The 20,485-nt window shown below is 35.5% G+C and overlaps 1 protein-coding gene across 25 annotated transcripts in view; it reads right to left on the minus strand.

Annotated features, from left to right (window-relative positions):
- The window catches only part of CDC42BPA (CDC42 binding protein kinase alpha), a 328,635-nt gene that overhangs the window by 37,770 nt on the left and 270,380 nt on the right, over positions 1-20,485 (minus strand). For 24 of the 25 annotated variants that reach the window (NM_001366011.1, XM_017002580.3, NM_014826.5 and 21 more), the window contains 8 exons: positions 20,300-20,383; positions 12,504-12,609; positions 7,844-7,980; positions 7,028-7,167; positions 5,707-5,788; positions 3,671-3,887; positions 2,781-2,843; positions 1,030-1,623 (listed from right to left, as the gene is read on the minus strand). In NM_001366011.1, coding sequence (NP_001352940.1) covers positions 1,030-1,623; positions 2,781-2,843; positions 3,671-3,887; positions 5,707-5,788; positions 7,028-7,167; positions 7,844-7,980; positions 12,504-12,609; positions 20,300-20,383 — 1,423 coding nt within the window. The remainder of the gene's footprint in view (positions 1-1,029; positions 1,624-2,780; positions 2,844-3,670; positions 3,888-5,706; positions 5,789-7,027; positions 7,168-7,843; positions 7,981-12,503; positions 12,610-20,299; positions 20,384-20,485) is intronic. The other variant, NM_001366010.2, reaches the window with a different exon arrangement.

A 20,485-nucleotide genomic window follows, 5' to 3' on the forward strand; every position in this document is an offset into this window, starting at 1 on the left:
CTCTCTACTTCTGCTATCATAGCACTTACACTCTACTGCAACTACTTGCTTTATCACGAATCTTTTCCACTGCACCCCATGCTCTGTGGGGTTAAGACTGTATCTATTTTACTCATTGCTGTTAACTCATATTCAATGGCACATATTCAATAATAATTGGATTATTTTCAATAACCAAAGTATTCTATAATTAAAAGTATTCAATGAGTCTGGGTGTGGTGAGTCAAGCCTATAATCTCAGTGCTTTGGGAAGCCAAGTTGGGAGGATTGCTTGAGGACAAGAATTTGAGACCAGCCTGAACAACTAATGAGACCATCTCTACAAAAACAAAAAATAAAAACATAAGCTGGGTGTGGTGGTGTGCACCTGCTGTCCCAGCTACTCGGGAGGCTGAAGTAGGAGGACTGCTTCAGTGTAAGAGTTGGAGGCTGCAGTGGGCTGTGACGATACCACTGTACTCTATCCTGGGTGACAGAGCAAGACTCCATCTCTCAAAAAAAAAAAAAAGTATTCAATAATTTATTATGTCTTAATATTTCTTGAAGGGGTAAAATAAGCAATTATAAATATCTACCCATCTAGATAAAAGTGGAAAACTGAAAAAACACCTCTTATAGATGTTACATTATACCTTTACATACCTGATTAAATAACTCACTTAGTAACTACTTCTCCAGAATAAGTTCTGTGAAACACTGATGCTTACAAGCACCATATTTTGGGGGACCATGAGATAACAATTCTGGGTTATTTCAAAATATGATGTGGGGTAAAAAATCCATCTTAGTGAAATATTCCACAGAAAGATGTTTTGTTTAAATTACGTGCATGCTAATGCTGGCCCTGTTTGCCCAGGCCTAACTACATATGGTTTTTACATCAACAACATAATCAATACTGAGGAAAAGCATTAAGAATGACTTTTTTAAAAAACTGTTATCAACAATGACAACATTTGGGAGACGAAGTAGAAGGGAAAAGGAAGAAGAGATATAAAGATAAGACAGCCGTAAGAAAGAGAATCTTACAACAAGAGGAAGGATTTGCTGGCCACATCAATTCCTGTTGTCTAGATCTTCGGCCCTGGCAGTCAGTGTATATCCCAATGCTGTTAAAACACAGCAGATATTCTTTACTGGAGATCTCAACTGCGCAGATAGCATCCATTGGTTGATGTGCAATAAATGATAGTGTATGGTCATTTGAATGGAGCATACTGTATGGATTTCCTTCTCCATTCAAGGGGTATCTTAGAAATCCTGACTGGAATCCCACACAGAGTTGTTCACTGAAGATTGCCATCCACTGGACATTATATGGGACTTGAATTTCTTTAAATTTTCTGTGACGGGTCTTGCTCTGAAATAGTTCATAACAGAGGACCTGCCTTTTCATAGCCACACACAGGCATGTGAGAGCTCCATGGCGCACCTTTCCAGAAGTTACGGTTTGACACCCTTTAGTTTCTGACAGCTTGTAAAAATCGGTCTCTCGCCCATCCAATGCTGACATAGGAAAAAGTCGTACATGACGATTTCGTCCTGAGATCACAGCAACAAGCTGATCATTTGGAATGAGTTCAATCTGATGAATCTTCTTATTGTCACCAACTCTAATAATTTCTAAACACAGAAAGAATAATAAATCAAAATATAGTTTTATTGATTAATCATATCCCAATTATACTCAAAAGGATGTAAGTCAACTTACAGATGCACATACGGAAGAATAAGACATCAGAAGTCACAGGAAAAAAAGATTATCCAACCCATCATAAGATAATTTAACTCACCTATAGTACGTATTAAATTTGAGTCCTGAGATTTCTGGCAGCCAAGGCAAACCCCAAAGGATTCTTGTGTAAAAGTATGCCAAATCTTCAAGGAAACTTTTCTACTGGCACTAAATTCTAGGGAACGTCACCATAGGATTCCCATTTTTAAAAACAGAGAACTTATTTTTCAGAAGTTTTTATATGGCTAACAATGCATTGTTTTCCCATGATCTAAGTTGACATAAAGATAAAACTTAGAATACTGTATTTATGAATACCAAGTTATATTGGTTTCTCTTTATTTCACCCAGCATTTAGTTTTTCCCTAGAAGAAAAACCTCCAAACAAACACATTTTAATAGCTGTTGCCTCTTCTGGTACTAATAGAACAATGTGAAAATCAAGTTGTATATATTTTTTTTCATGTTCCATCTTTAGAAATGCAATCTGGGCTGGGCGCAGTGGCTCATGCTTATAATCTCAGCACTTTGGGAGGCCAAGGCGGGTGGATCACCTGAGGTTGGGAGTTCGAGACCAACCTGGCCAACATGGAGAAACCTCATCTCTACTAAAAATACAAAATTAGCCGGGCGTGGTGGTGCATGCCTGTAATCCCAGCTACTGGGAGGCTGAGGCAGGAGAATCTCTTGAACCCAGGAGGCGGAGGCTGCAATGAGCCGAGTTCGTGCCACTGCACTCCAGCCTGGGCAGCAAGAGTGAAACTCTGTCTCCAAAAAAAAAAAAAGAAATGCAATCTGAGTTCGTACAGAACTGTTAAATAAAATGATACAAGAAAGACAATACATATTTGAAGTTTTAAACCTCAGGGGGATTATAGAAATTTAAAAATAATCTTTTAATTTATAAACGTCAAATTAGGTCTGGAAAATTTTAGTCGCAGGATAAATAAGAGCAAATCCTGCTCTTTGTAGAATTTAGAATCTACAGTTTAAATTTTTTTAACACGATTTAAAATTACTCCAAAAAAAAAAAGTTTTCTCTTACCATCTTTGGTGACATGTACAACAAATAACCCTTCTTCGTTTCCCAAAGCAATTCTTTCATGATCTATGTAAGACATGAATGTGAAAGATTTTTATTAGGAAAAAAACCATGTAATGCTAATAAACCAGATGATAAGAACATTTGGTGCAAAAAATGGAAATAAAATGAATTACAATAACAGTTTACACTATTTCCTTTCAGATTATACTGGTAAATCTCTCATGTCTTCTAAAATAGAACAATTATTAAAGAATAATCCATATCAATACTTACAAAAAGAAGTAAATGTTTAATAAATGATGAAACAAAATGAAAAACCTAAGTTGTTCTACACTTATTGTTTTGGGAGGTAAAAATTGTGAATGGCATTTGAACCATACTCATTGAACTTTTCAGTATTTATGGAAAGTAACAAAAGAGTTAGATGCATACACAGGAATACAGCAAAAATTTAAACCTCCAGACACAGAAACTGCCATTTGTTAAGGGGATTTCTTTCTTATGCAGGGCACTCTGTGTTATGTATTCCATCTTATTTAAACTTCCCAATAACCTCAGCAAGGTAATTACCATCTGTATTTTATATATTAAACTCTAAGAAACTAACTTGTTCTAAATCACACAAGCAGAAAATAGATTAGTAGGCTAATGCTTAGCACTGTTGTTTTTTCAGGAAAAAAAAGGCACTTTGAAAGTGTATTTATACTCCTGTTTACTGAAAAACAAAGATCTGATATAGGTCTCATTCATTCAGTAAACATGTACTGAGCATTTATGATATGATGCACAGTATGTTGGACACTGGGGATTCCTAGATGAAAGCCAATCCCTGTTCTCAAGGTAGATTAGTAAACAATGATAATAATATGATAAATGTTATAAATTCATACCTATGATTGCGGCTGCCTGGGTTGTTTTAATGAGGGGTAGAGTGCTGTCATAAGCCTCTTTGGGAACATAGACTGAGCGGTCTCTGAATTTGTTTTTCTTCAAAATCTTGTGCAATTCACTCAGCACTCCCACCCACTTATTCTTCTCATTCTCAGTGTCTGCTAGCATCAGGATTGAACATTTGTTATTAGATGCTGAGAGCTGGGAAGCTGTGACCTAGAACAATTTAATCAATATTCATGATATTAGAAAACAGACACCCTTTATGCTAGTTTCATGATTATGTTAGTTTGCTTAGCACTCACCAATAAAATAAGCATTCATTAAATGATACCATTACTGGAGTTCAGCTATTCCTAATCAGAATAACTACCTTTAGCACTAGAATACATGACAAAGCAAAGGTGGCAGACACCATTTGAAATGTTAGTATCATTTTCATTTTCCTTCTGTAAAAGTGCCAGAACACTATCACTAAAGAGGCATTAAATATATAACAACAACAACAACAACTGACATTTATTGAGTAAATACTGAGCACCAGGTAGATCTAAGCACTTTACAAGTATTAACTCATTTAACTCTGTTAACATCGTCATGATTTAGGATGTACTGTCATTATATCCTTATTTTATATATGAAAAAAATGGTGATGCAAAGAAATTAAATCATTTCTCCAAGGACATACAACTACAAGTCTGGGATCTTGTGCCCATGCTCTTAAGCGCCACACCATACTGACTTGTGACTTGTTTTAAGGTCAGAAGTGCTCAGAAATATATTCTCTGTTACTTCACAACAATAACTCGCATTATCATTAAGATTTGACCATTTAAATTAATATTTAAATGAAGGTTTATCATTATACAAACAACACTATCAGAGCAGTTTTAAATTTTACCTATATGAATTCCTTATCATAAGTAAAGAATTCCTTATTAAGTAGCAGTGACAATAAACTCACACTATGAAAATCAGTTATAGATAAGTGGGCCTCTGTAGGCTCCCTTGGTGGCTGGGAGGAAAATAAATAGTTGTCAGTCTGGGAACTAAGAGACTAAGTATAATCTTTGCCTGACCTTCCTTAGATACAAGATTCATAGACAAATATAGGGAGATAGGCATAACAATTGGGCAGTAGTTTTTTTTTTTAACCTCTATTGTCTTAATTTACCCACTCAAGATTGCATCGTGGCAAGGGCCTCCAAAGACGCCTACCAACAAGTCCTCCTAAGGAATTCCATTCTTCTCATCAAGAGGTGGAGTCTATTTCCCCTCCCCTTAAATCTGGGCTGACCTCATGACTTGCTTTGACCAACAGAATGCAGAAGGGTTATTATACCTGTTTTGGGCCTAGTCCTCAAAGGGCCTGGCAGCTTATTTTGCTCTCTTAGAAGCCAGCCACTGGGAGCTCAGCCAGCCTACCTGACGACCAGAGACCACATGGAGGGAGTTCACAAAGAGGAGAACTGAGATCACCCAGCTAACAGCCAGCACCCAGATGTAAGAGCAAGGTCATTAGATGTTCTGGTCCCAAATGAGCTGAATGCAGTCACATCAGTGACACTAGCGGACACCACAAGAACTGTACAGCTGGTCCACAGAATAGTGAAAAATAGTAAATCACTGTTGGTTTAAGCTACTAAGTTTTGGAATGGCTGTTACAAAGCAGTAAGTAACAAACGCATTAATTTTTCAAGACAGACATTTTTATTTTTTTAAAAACTTGAGAAACCTCACACTTATCTAATTTTCCATGTGGTAGTATTTATTTAAAAATTGAATTGGAACTAAAAAATATTATCTACCAGGAAGCATATTTTATAAGCCATATATTGATGCTTTCTCCAGGTCTTTCACTAATTAAATACTTAGCACCAATTTTCTATACCTTCAAGTACTGGATGATATGGAATATATAAAAGAATATAAGATTTGGTTTTACTTATAGTGAATTTATGATTTATATAGGGAGGCAAAATATACTCATTAAAAACACATAATTCAGTGATCAAATTACAGCATACACACTTACCCTAAATATACAGGGTATATCTTTCCGACTTGCATGGATAACATCAGAAGCCAAGACTGAACTCACAGAAAATTCTTCATCCCTGAACGAAAAGCAAAGCATTAAAAGTTACTATATGTGGCTATGTGTGTGTGGTTTGGGGTGTGTATCCAAATAACACATACCCAAAGCTTAACTGCACCAAACACCCAAATTTAATTTTTTAAAAAAATTAATTTTCCCCCATTGTAATTAATAGTGCCCCAAATAATTTATCAAGAATAACTTCCTAGTGGCACATTATACAAGAGCTAGAAATCATTGCTGGCTTACCCACAGTCACAAGGCCAGTTAAGTATACACGTAGAACTGGGATTTGAACCCTGGTAGGTCTCTGGAGCCTCCAGTGGACCCTCTTGCCTCCCATAATAAATCTTAAGTACCCTCAACCCAGCTCATGTTATATTTTATTGTTCCTTCAACATCTACAACGTATTTCCTCCACAATAATTTCTTGTGATTCCCTTAATTTTGTTGTTGGTACCATGACTCCCTTAGTCTTACAGGCTTGACACCTTAGTCCTATTTGTGATTCTTTTCCCTATCTATATTCAGTCCCTTAGTAGGTTCTATCAGATTTTTCTTGCCAATATTTCTTGCATCTATCCTGTCATGTTCCATATTTGTAGGGGAAGATAATGCGTTTGAGATGCCAATGTGAAGTGCCAATTTGAGTCACAGCTAGAAATTCCGGTTTTGAGCAATGGATGGATATATCTGAACTGGAGATACAAGTCTGGGAGTCATCAATGCAGAGGAGATGGCTGAAGCTGTGAGTAAATATGATCACTCAAGGATAGTGCCTGGAGTTAGGAGAAAAGGTAAAGGAGAGAGAACTAAGGAACACAGGAAGAATCTGAAAAATGAGACCAGAAGTGTTCAAGGGCTGTACTTACTTAAATGTTTACTGATTATGTTTTCCAGAAGCCTTTCTGATTTTTATTTTCTTTCCTCACATTGAAATTATACTCTAAGCCTTTAGGTGATGTGATAATATAAACTTCACATGGTAGGCCTCCATTACCCCATTTACACAGGTCTTTGGGACACCAACTTCTTTTTCCTTAACTCCTAGCCCCTCACACTCAACACACATACCAACCTGTCCTATAAATACACCTTACTTCCTATTTTCAATTCTGTTTCTATAGCAATATTAGCAAATTAGAAAATACGAAATTAGTTCATTTAAATAAACCATGGCAACACAATTTTTGAAAATCAGAAACTTTAAAATTCCTATGTTGCAATGATACAAATAATTTTACCTTCAAACTCTTACCTCATGTCAATCACTTGACTAATGACAACACTGGGCTGAGATGCTTTTCCTTCAGCAATATCGTACAGAAAGAGTTTGAAGTCACACACTATAGCCAGTGCTCTCTGCCACCCTTTCTTCACTCCAGCTGGCTTAGGAATCTTAGTTTTGTTTTAGACAGACAAACAGCCAAAACAACTCAAATGAAAATATCCCTTAAATTACATATGTAATTGCATGGTGAAGACCTACAGATAATGTACACGTTTTATAAGTCTGCCATTCTGGTTGGTAAAGTAGCAGATGAGACACATATCATTAAGCTATGAGAAAATGTGAGAACACATTCTTCAAATACAGAATGACTTTTTATTCTGAGAAACATTTTAATGGTACCATTTTAACTTTCACTCATATTTCATTAAAATAACACTCATGGGTTTCTTTCTAAATAGCATAAAAGTCAAACTTGGTGTAAGATGAAGTTCAGCTTACATTGTAAATACTACCCAAGATAACAAGACTATGCCTTAATAGCTCATAATTCATAACCATATGCCACCTCTCTTGCAAGAGCAGGGGCCACAAACTCCTTTATGAAGATTTCATCACAAGATAGGAACAATATGGAAAAACTTGAGACATTTTATAACTTATTTCCATGTAAAAGCTAGGTTTTTGTTTGCAAATCATTATTCTAGATGAAATAAAATTATTAGATGAATTTTATTCATTTAATTTTCCATCAAGAACTATCCTCTTAAACTAACTGGATTTGATTTTAATTCATTAATAAATCTTAAAGGATTAATCTAAACCCAACTTAATCATACTTACCCTGACATGACCTTCATATGCTGTTCCTATTCCTTTCTGAGGATCTATACCCAGGGGACCTTTTGTCTGTTCAGGAGGAACTGGACAAGTGGTTGGAGCTTTGTTTACACAAGTTATATGGCATGAGAATCCACACACTTTTAGAGGGAAAAAAGAAACGTTTGATAAAAATTCATTTTAACAAAAAGAAAATTCGTAACACTCACTGCATACAAGATGCTATGTTAGATGAATGCTTATCTCCAATTTTATTTTAAATAACTGTTTTATCATTTGGGTAGCTGATTCATTTGCTTACCAATGACAATTTTAATGAGACATAGTAAATATTTAAAAAATTACTTGTATTACTGCTGTTCTGTATTGACATTAGTGATCAAAAAAAGAAGCAACAGACGAAGCATCTAACCTTGTGAATAAAATGATTGATTTAGATTTTCTAAAAGAGTGGTTTCTAGAGTTTTTTGCTCTTCATCCCACTGCAACTTGGTATCTGCCTTGAAATTTCTGTTGCAAGGGTCACTAGTGGGCATTAAGCTACCTGACATCTTCGGTTTGGCAAACTCTACCAATCCTTGAAAATGGAGTTTTTCAATGACTAAAAAAGTACAAGTTAAAGGTAAATTTTAGGAGTTATTATTACATATACTTAAACTACTACTAAAATAACAATAGTTAACTTTATGGAGTGCTTTTTATTTTTCTATAACAATCTAAGAGAGGTACAGTTACCATCTCTATAAATGGACTACATATCACTGATGGATACTGTGAAACCAGCAGAGAGGCAAGATGACAAAAATCATCCAAACATCTCAATGCACTTTATTTATTTATTAAAGAGAAGGTCTTGCTATGTTGCCCAGGCTGGCCTCAAAATGATCCTCCTGTCTTAGCCTCCTGAGTAGTTGGGACTATAGGCATGAGTCATCACACACAACTTCAATTCACTTTTTTTTTTTTTTTTTTTTTTTTTGAGACGGAGTCTCGCTCTGTCGCCCAGGCTGGAGTGCGGTGGTGCAATCTCGGCTCACTGCAGGCTCCGCCCCCCGGGGTTCACGCCATTCTCCTGCCTCAGCCTCCCAAGCAGCTGGGACTACAGGCGCCCGCCACCTTGCCCGGCTAATTTTCTGTATTTTTAGTAGAGACGGGGTTTCACCGTGTTAGCCAGGATGGTCTCGATCTCCTGACCTCGTGATCCGCCCGCCTGGGCCTCCCAAAGTGCTGAGATTACAGGCGTTGAGCCACCGCGCCCGGCCTTCAATTCAGTTTTAAGTGGAGTATCTAGCAAGTTATGATTTGTTTTACTTACAAGCAAAGGGCAGTGGAAGCAACAAAATAAGTATCCTATACTGGATCTAATTCCAACCAACCACAAGGAAAGGAACATGACAGGAATCTTTAGAAGCTGGAACCACATTATTACAACATTTACAAAAGCCTGGCAGACAAAGGCTAGGAACAGTCTCATGAGTCCCCATAGCTTCATAAAGTAGGCTTCAAAGGGTCTGAAGAAAAGATAGGCACAATTTCACAGCAAAAGACTCTAGAAGGGAAGAGAGTCTGAGAAGACCTCAAAAATTCCTACTATGAATTGCAAGTAATTGTGGTGCATAAAAAATGACATGGGACTTAAAGCCAGGTAGCTGGCCAGGATTCTTTCTGATAAACAAATTTTAAAATGACATACCATTACTGGCTAAGTTCCAAAATGAAACAAAGCTTGAAAACTACAAATTTTCTCCTTCTTTGCCTTCAGTCACACCTTCCTAGTCAACAATACAGGCGATTCCTTCTCAGGTTAACTTGGCTATCTTTTCCTGTTGCCTTCCCTTAACTATGTAAGAGACTCATGTACTTGCTCTCTTCTCAATCTACATGTACTTCCTGGATGTCATTCATGTTTATAACTTAATACACTCCTAGCTCTTAAATCTCTGCTTTCTTAACCCTGAACATTTTATTTGGCTTTAAACACACATATCTAATGGATTAGTTAAAATACTGCAATCTGGATCTTTCACTTTAGCTGTGAGAACTAACCAAACAGAATGCACTGCCTTAAGATGTTATTAATTTCCCTCTTACTCAAAGTACTCAGATACAGGCTAACTACAAGTCTATTATAAAGGAAACACATGCATCTGATGGGGATGGGCTACATTTCCTTTAAGGTCCCTTCCCATTCTAACAGCAGAAGAGACAGGAAATGGCAACTAGTATTAGAATTTGAGTTAGCAACTATTTTCTTGTCTTTTTCATAAGATACATCAATATGAGAGATCTTCAGAATGTTCATGGAAAATGCATATTATGGAAAAACTATGCATGGATTTAAAATTTTCTTTTGCACCAAAATAAATGCATACTAACTTGTTATAATATGTCTGAAAAGGATCTAGTTTGAGGCACTAAGAAGAATGAGACATCAATTTGAAAAGAGCCCCTATCAGAACAACATGAATTCTGCTAAAATTAAGTAAGAACAAATATAAAATTTACAATGAAGCTTGGGTGAAATCATTGATGCTTTACAAAAAGTTTATGGGGACAATGCCTGATATGGTTTGGCTGTGTTCCTACCCAAATCTCATCTTGAATTGTAGCTCCCATAATTCCCATGTGTCATGGGAGGGACACAGTGGGAGGTAATTGAATCATGGGGGCAGGTCTCTCTGTGCTGCTCTGGTGATAGTGATTAAGTCTCGTGAAATCTGATGGTTTTATAAAGGGGAGTTCCCCTGCACATGCTCTCTTGCCTGCCGACATGTAAGACGTGACTTTGCTCCTCTTTCACCTTCCACCATGATTGTGAGGCCTCCCCAGTCATGTGGAACTGAGTCAATTAAACCTCTTTCCTTTATAAATTATGCAGTCTTGGGTATATCTTTATTAGCAATGTGAGAAGAGACAAATACAATGCCTTAAAGAAATCAGCAGTTTACAAATGGATAACTCATTTTAAGAAGGGATAAGATGATGTCAAAGATGAAACCTGCAGTAGCAAACCTTCCACATTAATTTGCCAGGGAAAAAATTAATCTTGTTCATGCTCTGTCTGAAGAGGACTGATGAATAACAGCACAAACAACAGCCAATACCACAGACATCTCAATTGGTTCAGCTTACACAATTCTGACCAAAAATGAATGCTGAGCAAACTTCCTACTTGTTGGGTGCCAAAACCACTGCACCCAGATCAGCTACAGAATGTTCAACGGAAATTTTAAACAAGTGGGATCAAGATCCTGAAGGATTTCTTTGAAGAACAGCAGCAGGAGATGCAACATGGCTTTACCAGTATGATCCTGAAGACAAAGCACAATCAAAGCAATGGCTACCAAGAGGTGGAAGTGGTCCAGTCACAGCAAAAGTGGACCAGTCAAGAGCAAAGGTCATGGCAATAGTTTTTTGGGATGCTTGAGGCATTTTGCTTGTTGGCTTTCTAGAGAGCCAAACGATGATAGCACCTGTTTATAATGAGAGTGTTTTGAGAAATATAGCCAAAGCTTTAGCAGAAAAACGCCTGGGAAAAGCTTCACCAGAGTCCTTCTTCACCATGACAATGCTCCTCCTGCTCAGTCCTCTCATCAGACAACAGCAATTTTGTGAGTGTTTCCATGGGAAATCATTAGGCATCCACCTTACAGTCCTGATTTGGTTCCTTCTGACTTTTTTGTTTCTGAATTTCAAAAAGTCTTTAAGGGCACCCATCTTTCTTCAGTTAATAATGTAAAGGAGACTAGACTGACATGGTTACATTCTCAGGACCCTCTGTTCTTCAGGGATGGACTAAATGGGTGGTATAATTGCTTACAAAGTTGTCTTGAACTTAATGGAGCTTATGCTAAAAAAAAAGTTTATATTGTTTATTTTTATTTTTAAATTCTACTTTTCCACAAGCTTTTTGAAGTCCCCTCATATAAGGTAGTGTTGTAATGACAAATTTCATTTGATTTTTTAAAAAAGTATTCTTCTGAAACATTTAAAAAAATATATGTTCCATTATAATTTAAACCATTTTCACTTCAGAGGTCCTAGGAAAAATAAAGGAATACCCAAACAAATATACTTTCTTTTCTGTTCACATGACCCCTGACCCTCTCTCCTTCATCACTCAGAATGTGCGCTCTATGAGGGTAGGATCTATGCCTTTCCCCTATCCACTATTATGTCCCCAGTGCCTAGAAGTACAGTGGGTGTTCCATAAACATGTGATGAATAAATCATGGATGTTAGGGGAAAAAAAAAAACCTCTGCTATTAATACAGGAATAAAATATCTTTCAGACATAGTGGCAGACATTTAATATTTCTGAAAAGGTTCCCACACTGTCTACTTTTTAATAACAATTTCTCTAATAAATTAAACAAGGTTAAAATTCAATGAATTTTCTTCTGTCAGGTTAATGTTTTTTGGCAGGGACTACAAATTTAATAACAAAACAAAGACAAATGAACCATATTTAAATATATTGCCCCTGAAAAATATGTCTAGTTTCTCGAACATTCAACAGACAACACAGATTATTTCCATTCCTGTTATGCAAAAAAGCAAATGATTAAGTAAAACAAACATTTATACACCTTTGAAAGAGAATCAACTTATTTGATTACAATTTAGATAGTGAAGTCACATTTTCTTTCCTTTGTGTTCTTACCTTCACATGAACAGCCCTGTCTTATTAAACCCACCATCAAGGAGGTACACTGATGACACTTGGTAGGAGTAGTAAAAGATTTTACAAAAAACTGGTGAGTCTTGCGCTGCAAAACAAATTGATAAAAAAACACACAGATTGTTTAAAAGATTTCCATAATGTGAGTCCTTATGCCCCATACCACTTTCTAGAATGTTTTCTAAATAGGAATAGAATGAATTATTTCCATTTCTCATTACATCTTCTTATAGTTTATGGTCTTTAAACATTTTTATTAGGTAATTTGAACTGGACTAAGCTAAAATAATTAAGAAGTTAAATGATAATTGCTCTTCAATGCCATTTTAAAAGTATATAAAATAAACAATAGCTTTTTTGGGGGGCTCATAAATCTTAGCTTCAGAATTTTAATAAATTATCCAAATTATTGTTCAGCAAATAGTTAAGTAAAATATTGCATATTTATACTGATACAAATATAGGATTTTAATATGCTTTATACCTTCTTAGGAAAAAGAGTTATTTAAAATTATTGTTTCTACTGTAAATCATGCATTTCTCTTTCTGGGACCAAGGACAAATAATATGCTTCACGAATCAGTTTCCTCCTATGGAAAGAGGCAGTATAACACTTGAGCAGATAAGAATACACAAATATTATTCCAGAGACAGATGGCAGATTGAAATTTCTTATTGAATACACCATAGTTAAAGGTATCTTAGTCTTACCTGATTTACATGGTGGTAAGCAAATGTAGATTTTATCTCTTTGGAATATTCCTTTGTTTTCCAAATTAATTCTCTTAGCATGTTTTAACAATAAATGATGTATAATAAATAACCTTTCATTCTGTTGTGTGAACTTAGGAAAAAATTACTAAATTCCTCTCTGTCTCACTTTCCTTATCTACAAAACAGGATAAATAATAGTATCTACCTAACGGAGTGGTTAAATGAGTATTAATATAAACAAAGCCTTTCAAACAGTACCTGGTACATACTAAGTACTCAAAAAAAAATAATTTCAACTCTTATTTTAGATTTGTGGGTACACGTGCAGGTTTGTTACCTGAGTATATTATATGATGCTGAAGTTTAGGGCATGACCGATCCATATTACCCAGGTACTGAGCACAGTACCCAATTTTTTAGCCCTGGCACCCCTCCCTCCTTCCCCTTCTCTAGTAGTCCCCAGAGTCTTTTGTTGCCATCTTTATGTCCATGGGTACCCAATGTTATTTGAATTTTGCTATTTTTTTCTCTTGTAAATGTGTGATTGATTTAAACTACTAAGAACTCTACTCCATATTCTAATAAATTATGAATACTGATTTTAAAAGGTTATCAAGTAGCATTTATTTCAGTAGACACTAACATATGAACAAAAAACTAAAGGGAATATTTGAAGCTTTAAAATTCAAGTTAAAAATAAATCTTGTTCTTTTCAACTGGGATATATGATTTGTACACTACAAAAGAAATTAAAAAAATAGAAGTAGATTATCTTTTTACATAGAAAAACCTGACTACCAGCATTAGTCAGAGAATGGGGTGAGAGTCTCAAATTTAGAGTGGTCATGAGCTCTGGTCCAACCTCAAAGCATTGTGTTCTAGAAGTTCCTCACGATCTTTTGGTCAGTTTCAAAGCAGCACTAGGATTTGACTCTAAGTAGAACACAGTCTATCTTATTACTAACTCTGCAACTGCTCCTATAGCTTCTGAGTCCCAGTCAGGGTACAGACACTGTACCAGTACTTTACATAATTCATCTTATTTCATGCAAATAACCACCTTGGAAAGATAGATATTATTTCCTTATATGAAGGAATCTATTAAAATCATAAAATTTTGCTCTTTCTCCTGTATACTACTTTTTAATTTTTGGCTCTTTGAGAAACTATTATGAGTAAATTTTCTAGTGCTAACTTTTTCAATTGTTCAAAATGCATTAATGCAAAAGACGTGAAGTTATTTTACTGGTTAGTCCTAGAGGCTTTGAATACAAAGAAGGAAAAATTAATCAACTGCTCTAAGTAGGTTCATGTTTTTCTTCTTCTAAACAGTAACAAGACATACCTGAAACAGTAGCAATGAAACAACTCTAGGGTTGACAAATTTATTAGTAATTCTCCATAATACCTCCCGAATTGCACATATACATATATGATATATATATATATATATCATACACTTCCTCTCCAGCAAGAGATCTATTCAGGATGTCACAATTCTGAGTATGACAGCAGGGAAAAATATAACAACCCAGTGTTTTGGCTGAGCATTAATTTTAGGTAATAAATCATCCAACTGGTAGGTGCTGGTTAAATTATAGGAGAGGTTGTGTAATCCACTACTAAAGATTAACGGGTTTATATTTCACTAATCTCCACTAAGGATAGTATAACATAACATAATTAAAGATCGTTATTCTGAGGCCATCAATCTTTAGGTAATACACAATAGGATTTTGTTTTTGTTTTGGTGTGAAAATGTATAAAGAAAGACACAGGAATGATCGATCTTAGAGTCTAGATTCCTTGGCTTCTAATATCCCTGTTTCCTGCCTCCTGGTCAATATTTGATATCTAATACTTCCCTTTGTGGACAGCTGGAAGAAGAGAAAAAAATGAAAAGAAAAAAATCTAGTAAGAAAGGTATTAAAGTATGGACTAAAATTAGAATTTTAGATTATGTGATCATTTGGAGTAGAAAGAATTAACCATAACCTCAAATTTCAAAGTGGTGATTAGAAAGAGTTCTTTTCTACTCTGATTTTTTCTGTGTTGTAGATTTTAAGCTACACATTGGAGAAAGTAAAATGTTTTTAATAGAAGATGTAAGAGCCAAGTAGAACCAAGTACAACTCTTGGTGAAAGCTTAAAAATTTACTGTAGATAATTAAACTTTTACCACTAATAAATGACAAGTCAAAGAGTATCTCACACAACCCTTTCTTTTTTACAAAAAATTTTAAAATGTTTTAAAGAAATTAAATTTTCTGGCCAGGCACGGTACCTTATGCCCGTAATCCCAAGCACTTTGGGAGGCCAAGGAGGGCGGATCACGAGGTCCAGAGATCGAGACCATCCCAGCCAACATGGTGAAACCCCGTCTCTATTAAAAATACAAAAATTAGCTGGGCATGGTGGCATGCGCCTATAGTCCCAGCTACTCGGGAGGCTGAGGCAGGAGAACTGCTTAAACCTGGTAGGCAGAGGCTGCAGCGAGCTGAGATCACGCCACTGCACTCCGGCCTGGCGACAAAACGAGACTTCGTCTCAAAAAAAAAAAAAAAAAAATTTAATTTTCTTTTTAAAAATATTTTTTCTTCCCTTTTAAAATTTCTATTTTGAGATAATTATAGATTCACTTCTCTATCTTTTAAAAAACATGAAATAAATTTTATTTCTTGGGGAGAAATATTAGGTGCAACAAACTAAGTTAATATTTAATTCATAAAATAATATCAGCTTGATAGAAGCCTCACTCTAGTTTTATTTTGTCTTATTTTGCCTTTTCATCCTTGATGATCCAATACCTTGGACATGTATATATCTTTATAAATTAGATAGTCTGAGTATGTGTTTTTAATTTATATAAATGTGTTTCTGTTATATATCAATTACATTTTAGGAATCTTTCCCCTATTTCCAACTCCCTACTGCCATAAAAAATACAGTAATAAACATCTTCATCATGTTGCCTAATGAATCTGTATGGAGGTTTTTGTAAAGGAAAGAGATTTTTCTGATGAAATGAGATTGCTGAGTCATACAGCTTACGTATGACTCTACACTGTCTAGGTTCTCTCCAGAATGGCTGTACCCGTTTATACTTCCAGTATCCACGTGTGAAGCTGCCTGTTTCTCCACATCCATGACGTCATCTTACTTAATTTTATCTTGATTTTGAATAGAAAGTGATAGTAATTCTAAAATTAAATTTTAAAAATTTCTCCAATGATTAATGAAGTTGGACATTTCTTCACATGCTTGTTGACCATCAGGATTTCGTCTTCTGGGAATTATTTATATCACTTGCCAATCTTTCAATGGGATTTCTAGTCTTTTTCATATGGAGTTGCAGGAGTTTCTTATGTATTTTAGAAATAAGCCTCTTATTAGTGGTAAACATTGCAGATATCTTCCACTAGTCTGTCATCATCTGTTAACAATGCTTTCACTGTAAAAGCATTTTTAATTTTGATATAAAGCCCACGAATATTTTCACCTTATGCTTGTGATTTGAGATCTTATATTTATTCCCAGTCACAAAAAATTTTTCTACATTTTCTGTTTTAAATTTTTAAAATCAAATTAATACATACACATGGTTGAAAAAGTAAAATGGTATTACAATGCTTATGACAAAATCAGAAGTATTCCTCCTACTTCCTACAGGCAATTTCATTTAACTCTCCTTTTTTAAAAGCTATTTCCCTCCTTCTGTAATAGGTATCTATATGGGCGGGGCAGAGCTGGGGTGGAAAGCCTATACTACAGTTTTTTGATTTGAGACGTTATCTGTTCACTTCCTGCTATGGTAGAGAAGGATATGGCCCTTTTACACTATCTACTCCCTTTTTTCATTTTTCCCAATATTGTTATAGTAGTTTTAGCTTAAAATTTATATGTAATGTCTAAGTTATTATGACTAGAGAATCATTATTCACTAATAAGAAGTACACTATGGTTATCATCTTACTTGTATAACCTCATGATTTTTCTAAAATTAATAGTTCCCCTCCCACCCTCGACTTTTACCTTTCTGTATCTCTATCACTAAATCTTCCAGACTCTTCTAAGGAACTGTAAAATCCCCTGGAATCTATTTACCACATGGTCAAACACACTGGAAGCCTTTCAGCCCCCTTACCCCTTTCTATTGACCTGAAGACAACCCTGCTGAAGCCCTCTGGTTTCCTATTCCAGTCTTTCTCTTAACCGGTCTGTGTACAATTCCTTCTTCTATAGACCTCATGTCTCTCTTTCCTTGTCCCCTTCCTTGTTCTGGTAGAACTAATTAAGTTTCCTTAGAAAGTAGCACATGGGTGATAAAAATTTCTTTGAGATCTGGAATTTCTCAAAATGCAATTTTTTCCCCCCTGCAACTCGATGGGACATTTGACAGGGAATCAAAAATTCTAGCTTGAAATCATTTTACCTTCTAACTATTCTTTTCATTTTGCCTTGGGTAAGTATGTCATTTCAATTCCTGAATATGTGGATGTGATCTTTTTTAAATCTCCTTAAAGGTTTAAAAAGTTCTATCTTTGGTATCTTGAAAACTCACACAATGATGTGACTGGGGACAGGTATTTGTCATCCACTAGTGCTAGTAGGCACTGATGGAACTGTGCAATCTGGAAACATGTCTTTTAGTTACAGGAAAAAGTCTTTTACTTACTTGATAATTTCCTTCCTTTTCTTTTTTCTGTCTTCCCTTTCAGGAACTTCTACTTGTTGGATATGGATTTCTCATATTTTCTTTTCCTAATTTCTACCTGATTTTTTGCAATATTTTCTAAGAGAATTCTCAAATTTATCTTGTGACTCATCTACTGAATTTAAAAAATATTTATCATATTTTCTTTAACTTGAGACTTCTTGTTCTCATATTGCTCTGTTTCTTTCTGCTTTTTGCATTGTCCCTTTTTCCTTCAACAAAAACAGGAAATATTTATCTTTTTCTTTGAGACAGGGTCTCACCATGTCACTGAGGCTGGAGTTTAGTGGTGCGATCTCAGCTCACTGCAGCCTTGACCTCCCAGGCTCAAGTGATCCTCCCTCCTCAACCCCCAAGTAGCTGGCACTATAGGTGCACATCACCACGCCTGGCTAATTTTTGTATTTTTCATATAGACAGGGTTTTGCCATGCTGCCCAGGTAGGTCTCGAACTCCTGGGCTCAAGCAATCAGCCCGCCTAAGCCTCCCAAAATGCTGGCATTACAGGTGTGAGCCACCACGTATCCCTGATCTTTTTCCTTTGTTAGATAATTTTGAAATGTCTACTGACTGTTGGGAATCTTAACATTTTTAAGAGTCAGTAAAAAAGCTAAAGAGATTTTGTGTCTATCTATGTGTCCACATGAGAGCAAACATATGATGTGCTTGTTAAGAAAGGACCTAGCCATCTCATTAGGGAGCCCCAAATGACATTATCGATAGGTCTTTTCTGGGCCATTCAGTGGACCCGAGGATCCACTGATATCCTCTCCAAGCAGAGTGGGGAGGAGGAGGCTACAGTCCCAAGAGTCAGTATTCTGGGAGCTAAGCAGAGGAAAGGATTTGAAGTCTCGCCATTCAGTACATGGACTTTTGCCAAATCTCAACTATTTGTGGTTTTGCACTTCTTTCTCTCACCAACCAGTGAGCCTGGTTGGTGCCCTTAAATTTGTGATCTCTTTGGTTTAATTACTTCACAAAATTAACGTATTGCTGAGTTGGGGTAGTTGTCTGGTTTTCAGAACTGGTATAACACTTTATGTGGACTTTGAATCAATTCTCTAATTTACTCTAGACTCCTGCTTCACTCTTGCCTCTCAAAGTACTTGGTGTCTTATCATTTTGGTTGTCTGAAGCTTGTTCTCTAGCACATTGCTTGAGAAGGGGTATGGGAACAGTATTTCCTGAGCTCTTGCATGTTCTTAATAGTTTTCTGTGGCCTTCATTTTTGGAGTATGCTTTACTATCCTTAAAATATTAAATCCTTAAAAATCTTTCACTTGTACTTTCCTTGGGTATCTTAAATGTGTTATTTCACTGCTGTTGTTTTTAGCATACTGTTACTATGAAAAAATCTGATGATAATCTCATTTTCTTTCCCCTTTAAGTGACATATTTTTTGCCTGAATGCCCAATATTTTTCCTTTTATTTATAAACCTTTAGTTTACTAGAGTGTTTTCTTTTGGTTGGGTTGTCATATATCTTAACTTTCCTGTTTTTCATCTTATCTTCCCTCCTACTAACTTGTTTTTCTGTGATATCCATTTTACCCCTTCTACTATTAAAGTCATCTATTTAGTTATTTCAGCAGTTATGTTTTCATGTCAAGTATTCCCAATTTATTTTTCTTCCTAACTACCTTATCCTGCCTCATGTTACCAACATACTTCTTATCTCTTTAAGGATATTTTTTATGTTTATTTTAAATTCATGTTCTATCTGGCCTTAAAATTTTGCTTTATCTGGGCACAGGTTATTTCAGTTTGTCTTTCTTCTATATCAGTTATATTTTTTGTATATTTTTTCAGGTCTATTGACCTCTCTCTCTCATTTTGTGGTTTATCCAAGGTTTATGTTCTGGAGAGGCAGATCATTCAGTTTTCCAATTTCTGGAATTTCTTTGTGGGAGCTTGAGACAAGCAACTAAATCTTCTCATTCTACCATATGTAATACTTCAGTCATATTTATGTCAAATAGAATGGGAAAAAAAAGTCCACCTGAATTTTTCACTAAACGTTTTTCTTTCTCACTGGTTTATTGATTTCAGTCTCAGATTCTTCCACAAGTGGCCTCAACTTAATGCCTTACTGAGGCATATACTGCTTAGAGGAAGTGCTACTTCTTATTATAACAGACTTCAAAACATTGAATTTAAGAAGATGAAAAAGTGCTGTACGCTCTCCCTACCTTTCCTATTGGTGATTATTTGCATTCACACATAATTTATTTTATAAGTTTTTCTGTTTGTAAATTTGAAGAAATAATATCAAAAAAATCACAGCAAATGCATAGAGCAGATAAAATTCATTTTTTTTGGAACACACTATGCTTATAACTAGATTGAGTACCTTAGGTGGAAAGCCAGTTGAACCAGGACATCCTTTTTTCCTTAAGGTTGGTGTGTGAACTGAAAGTGGAGTGGAGTCTACAGTCTGAACCCAGGAGCAAAAAAGGAAATAAATGTCATGAAACACTCCATTAATTTCAAATATAACTAGAAAGAAGCCAAAATAAATAAAACAAAACATCAATAA

The sequence above is a fragment of the Homo sapiens genome, chromosome 1, assembly GCF_000001405.40.
Source record: "Homo sapiens chromosome 1, GRCh38.p14 Primary Assembly".
Taxonomy (NCBI): domain Eukaryota; kingdom Metazoa; phylum Chordata; class Mammalia; order Primates; family Hominidae; genus Homo; species Homo sapiens.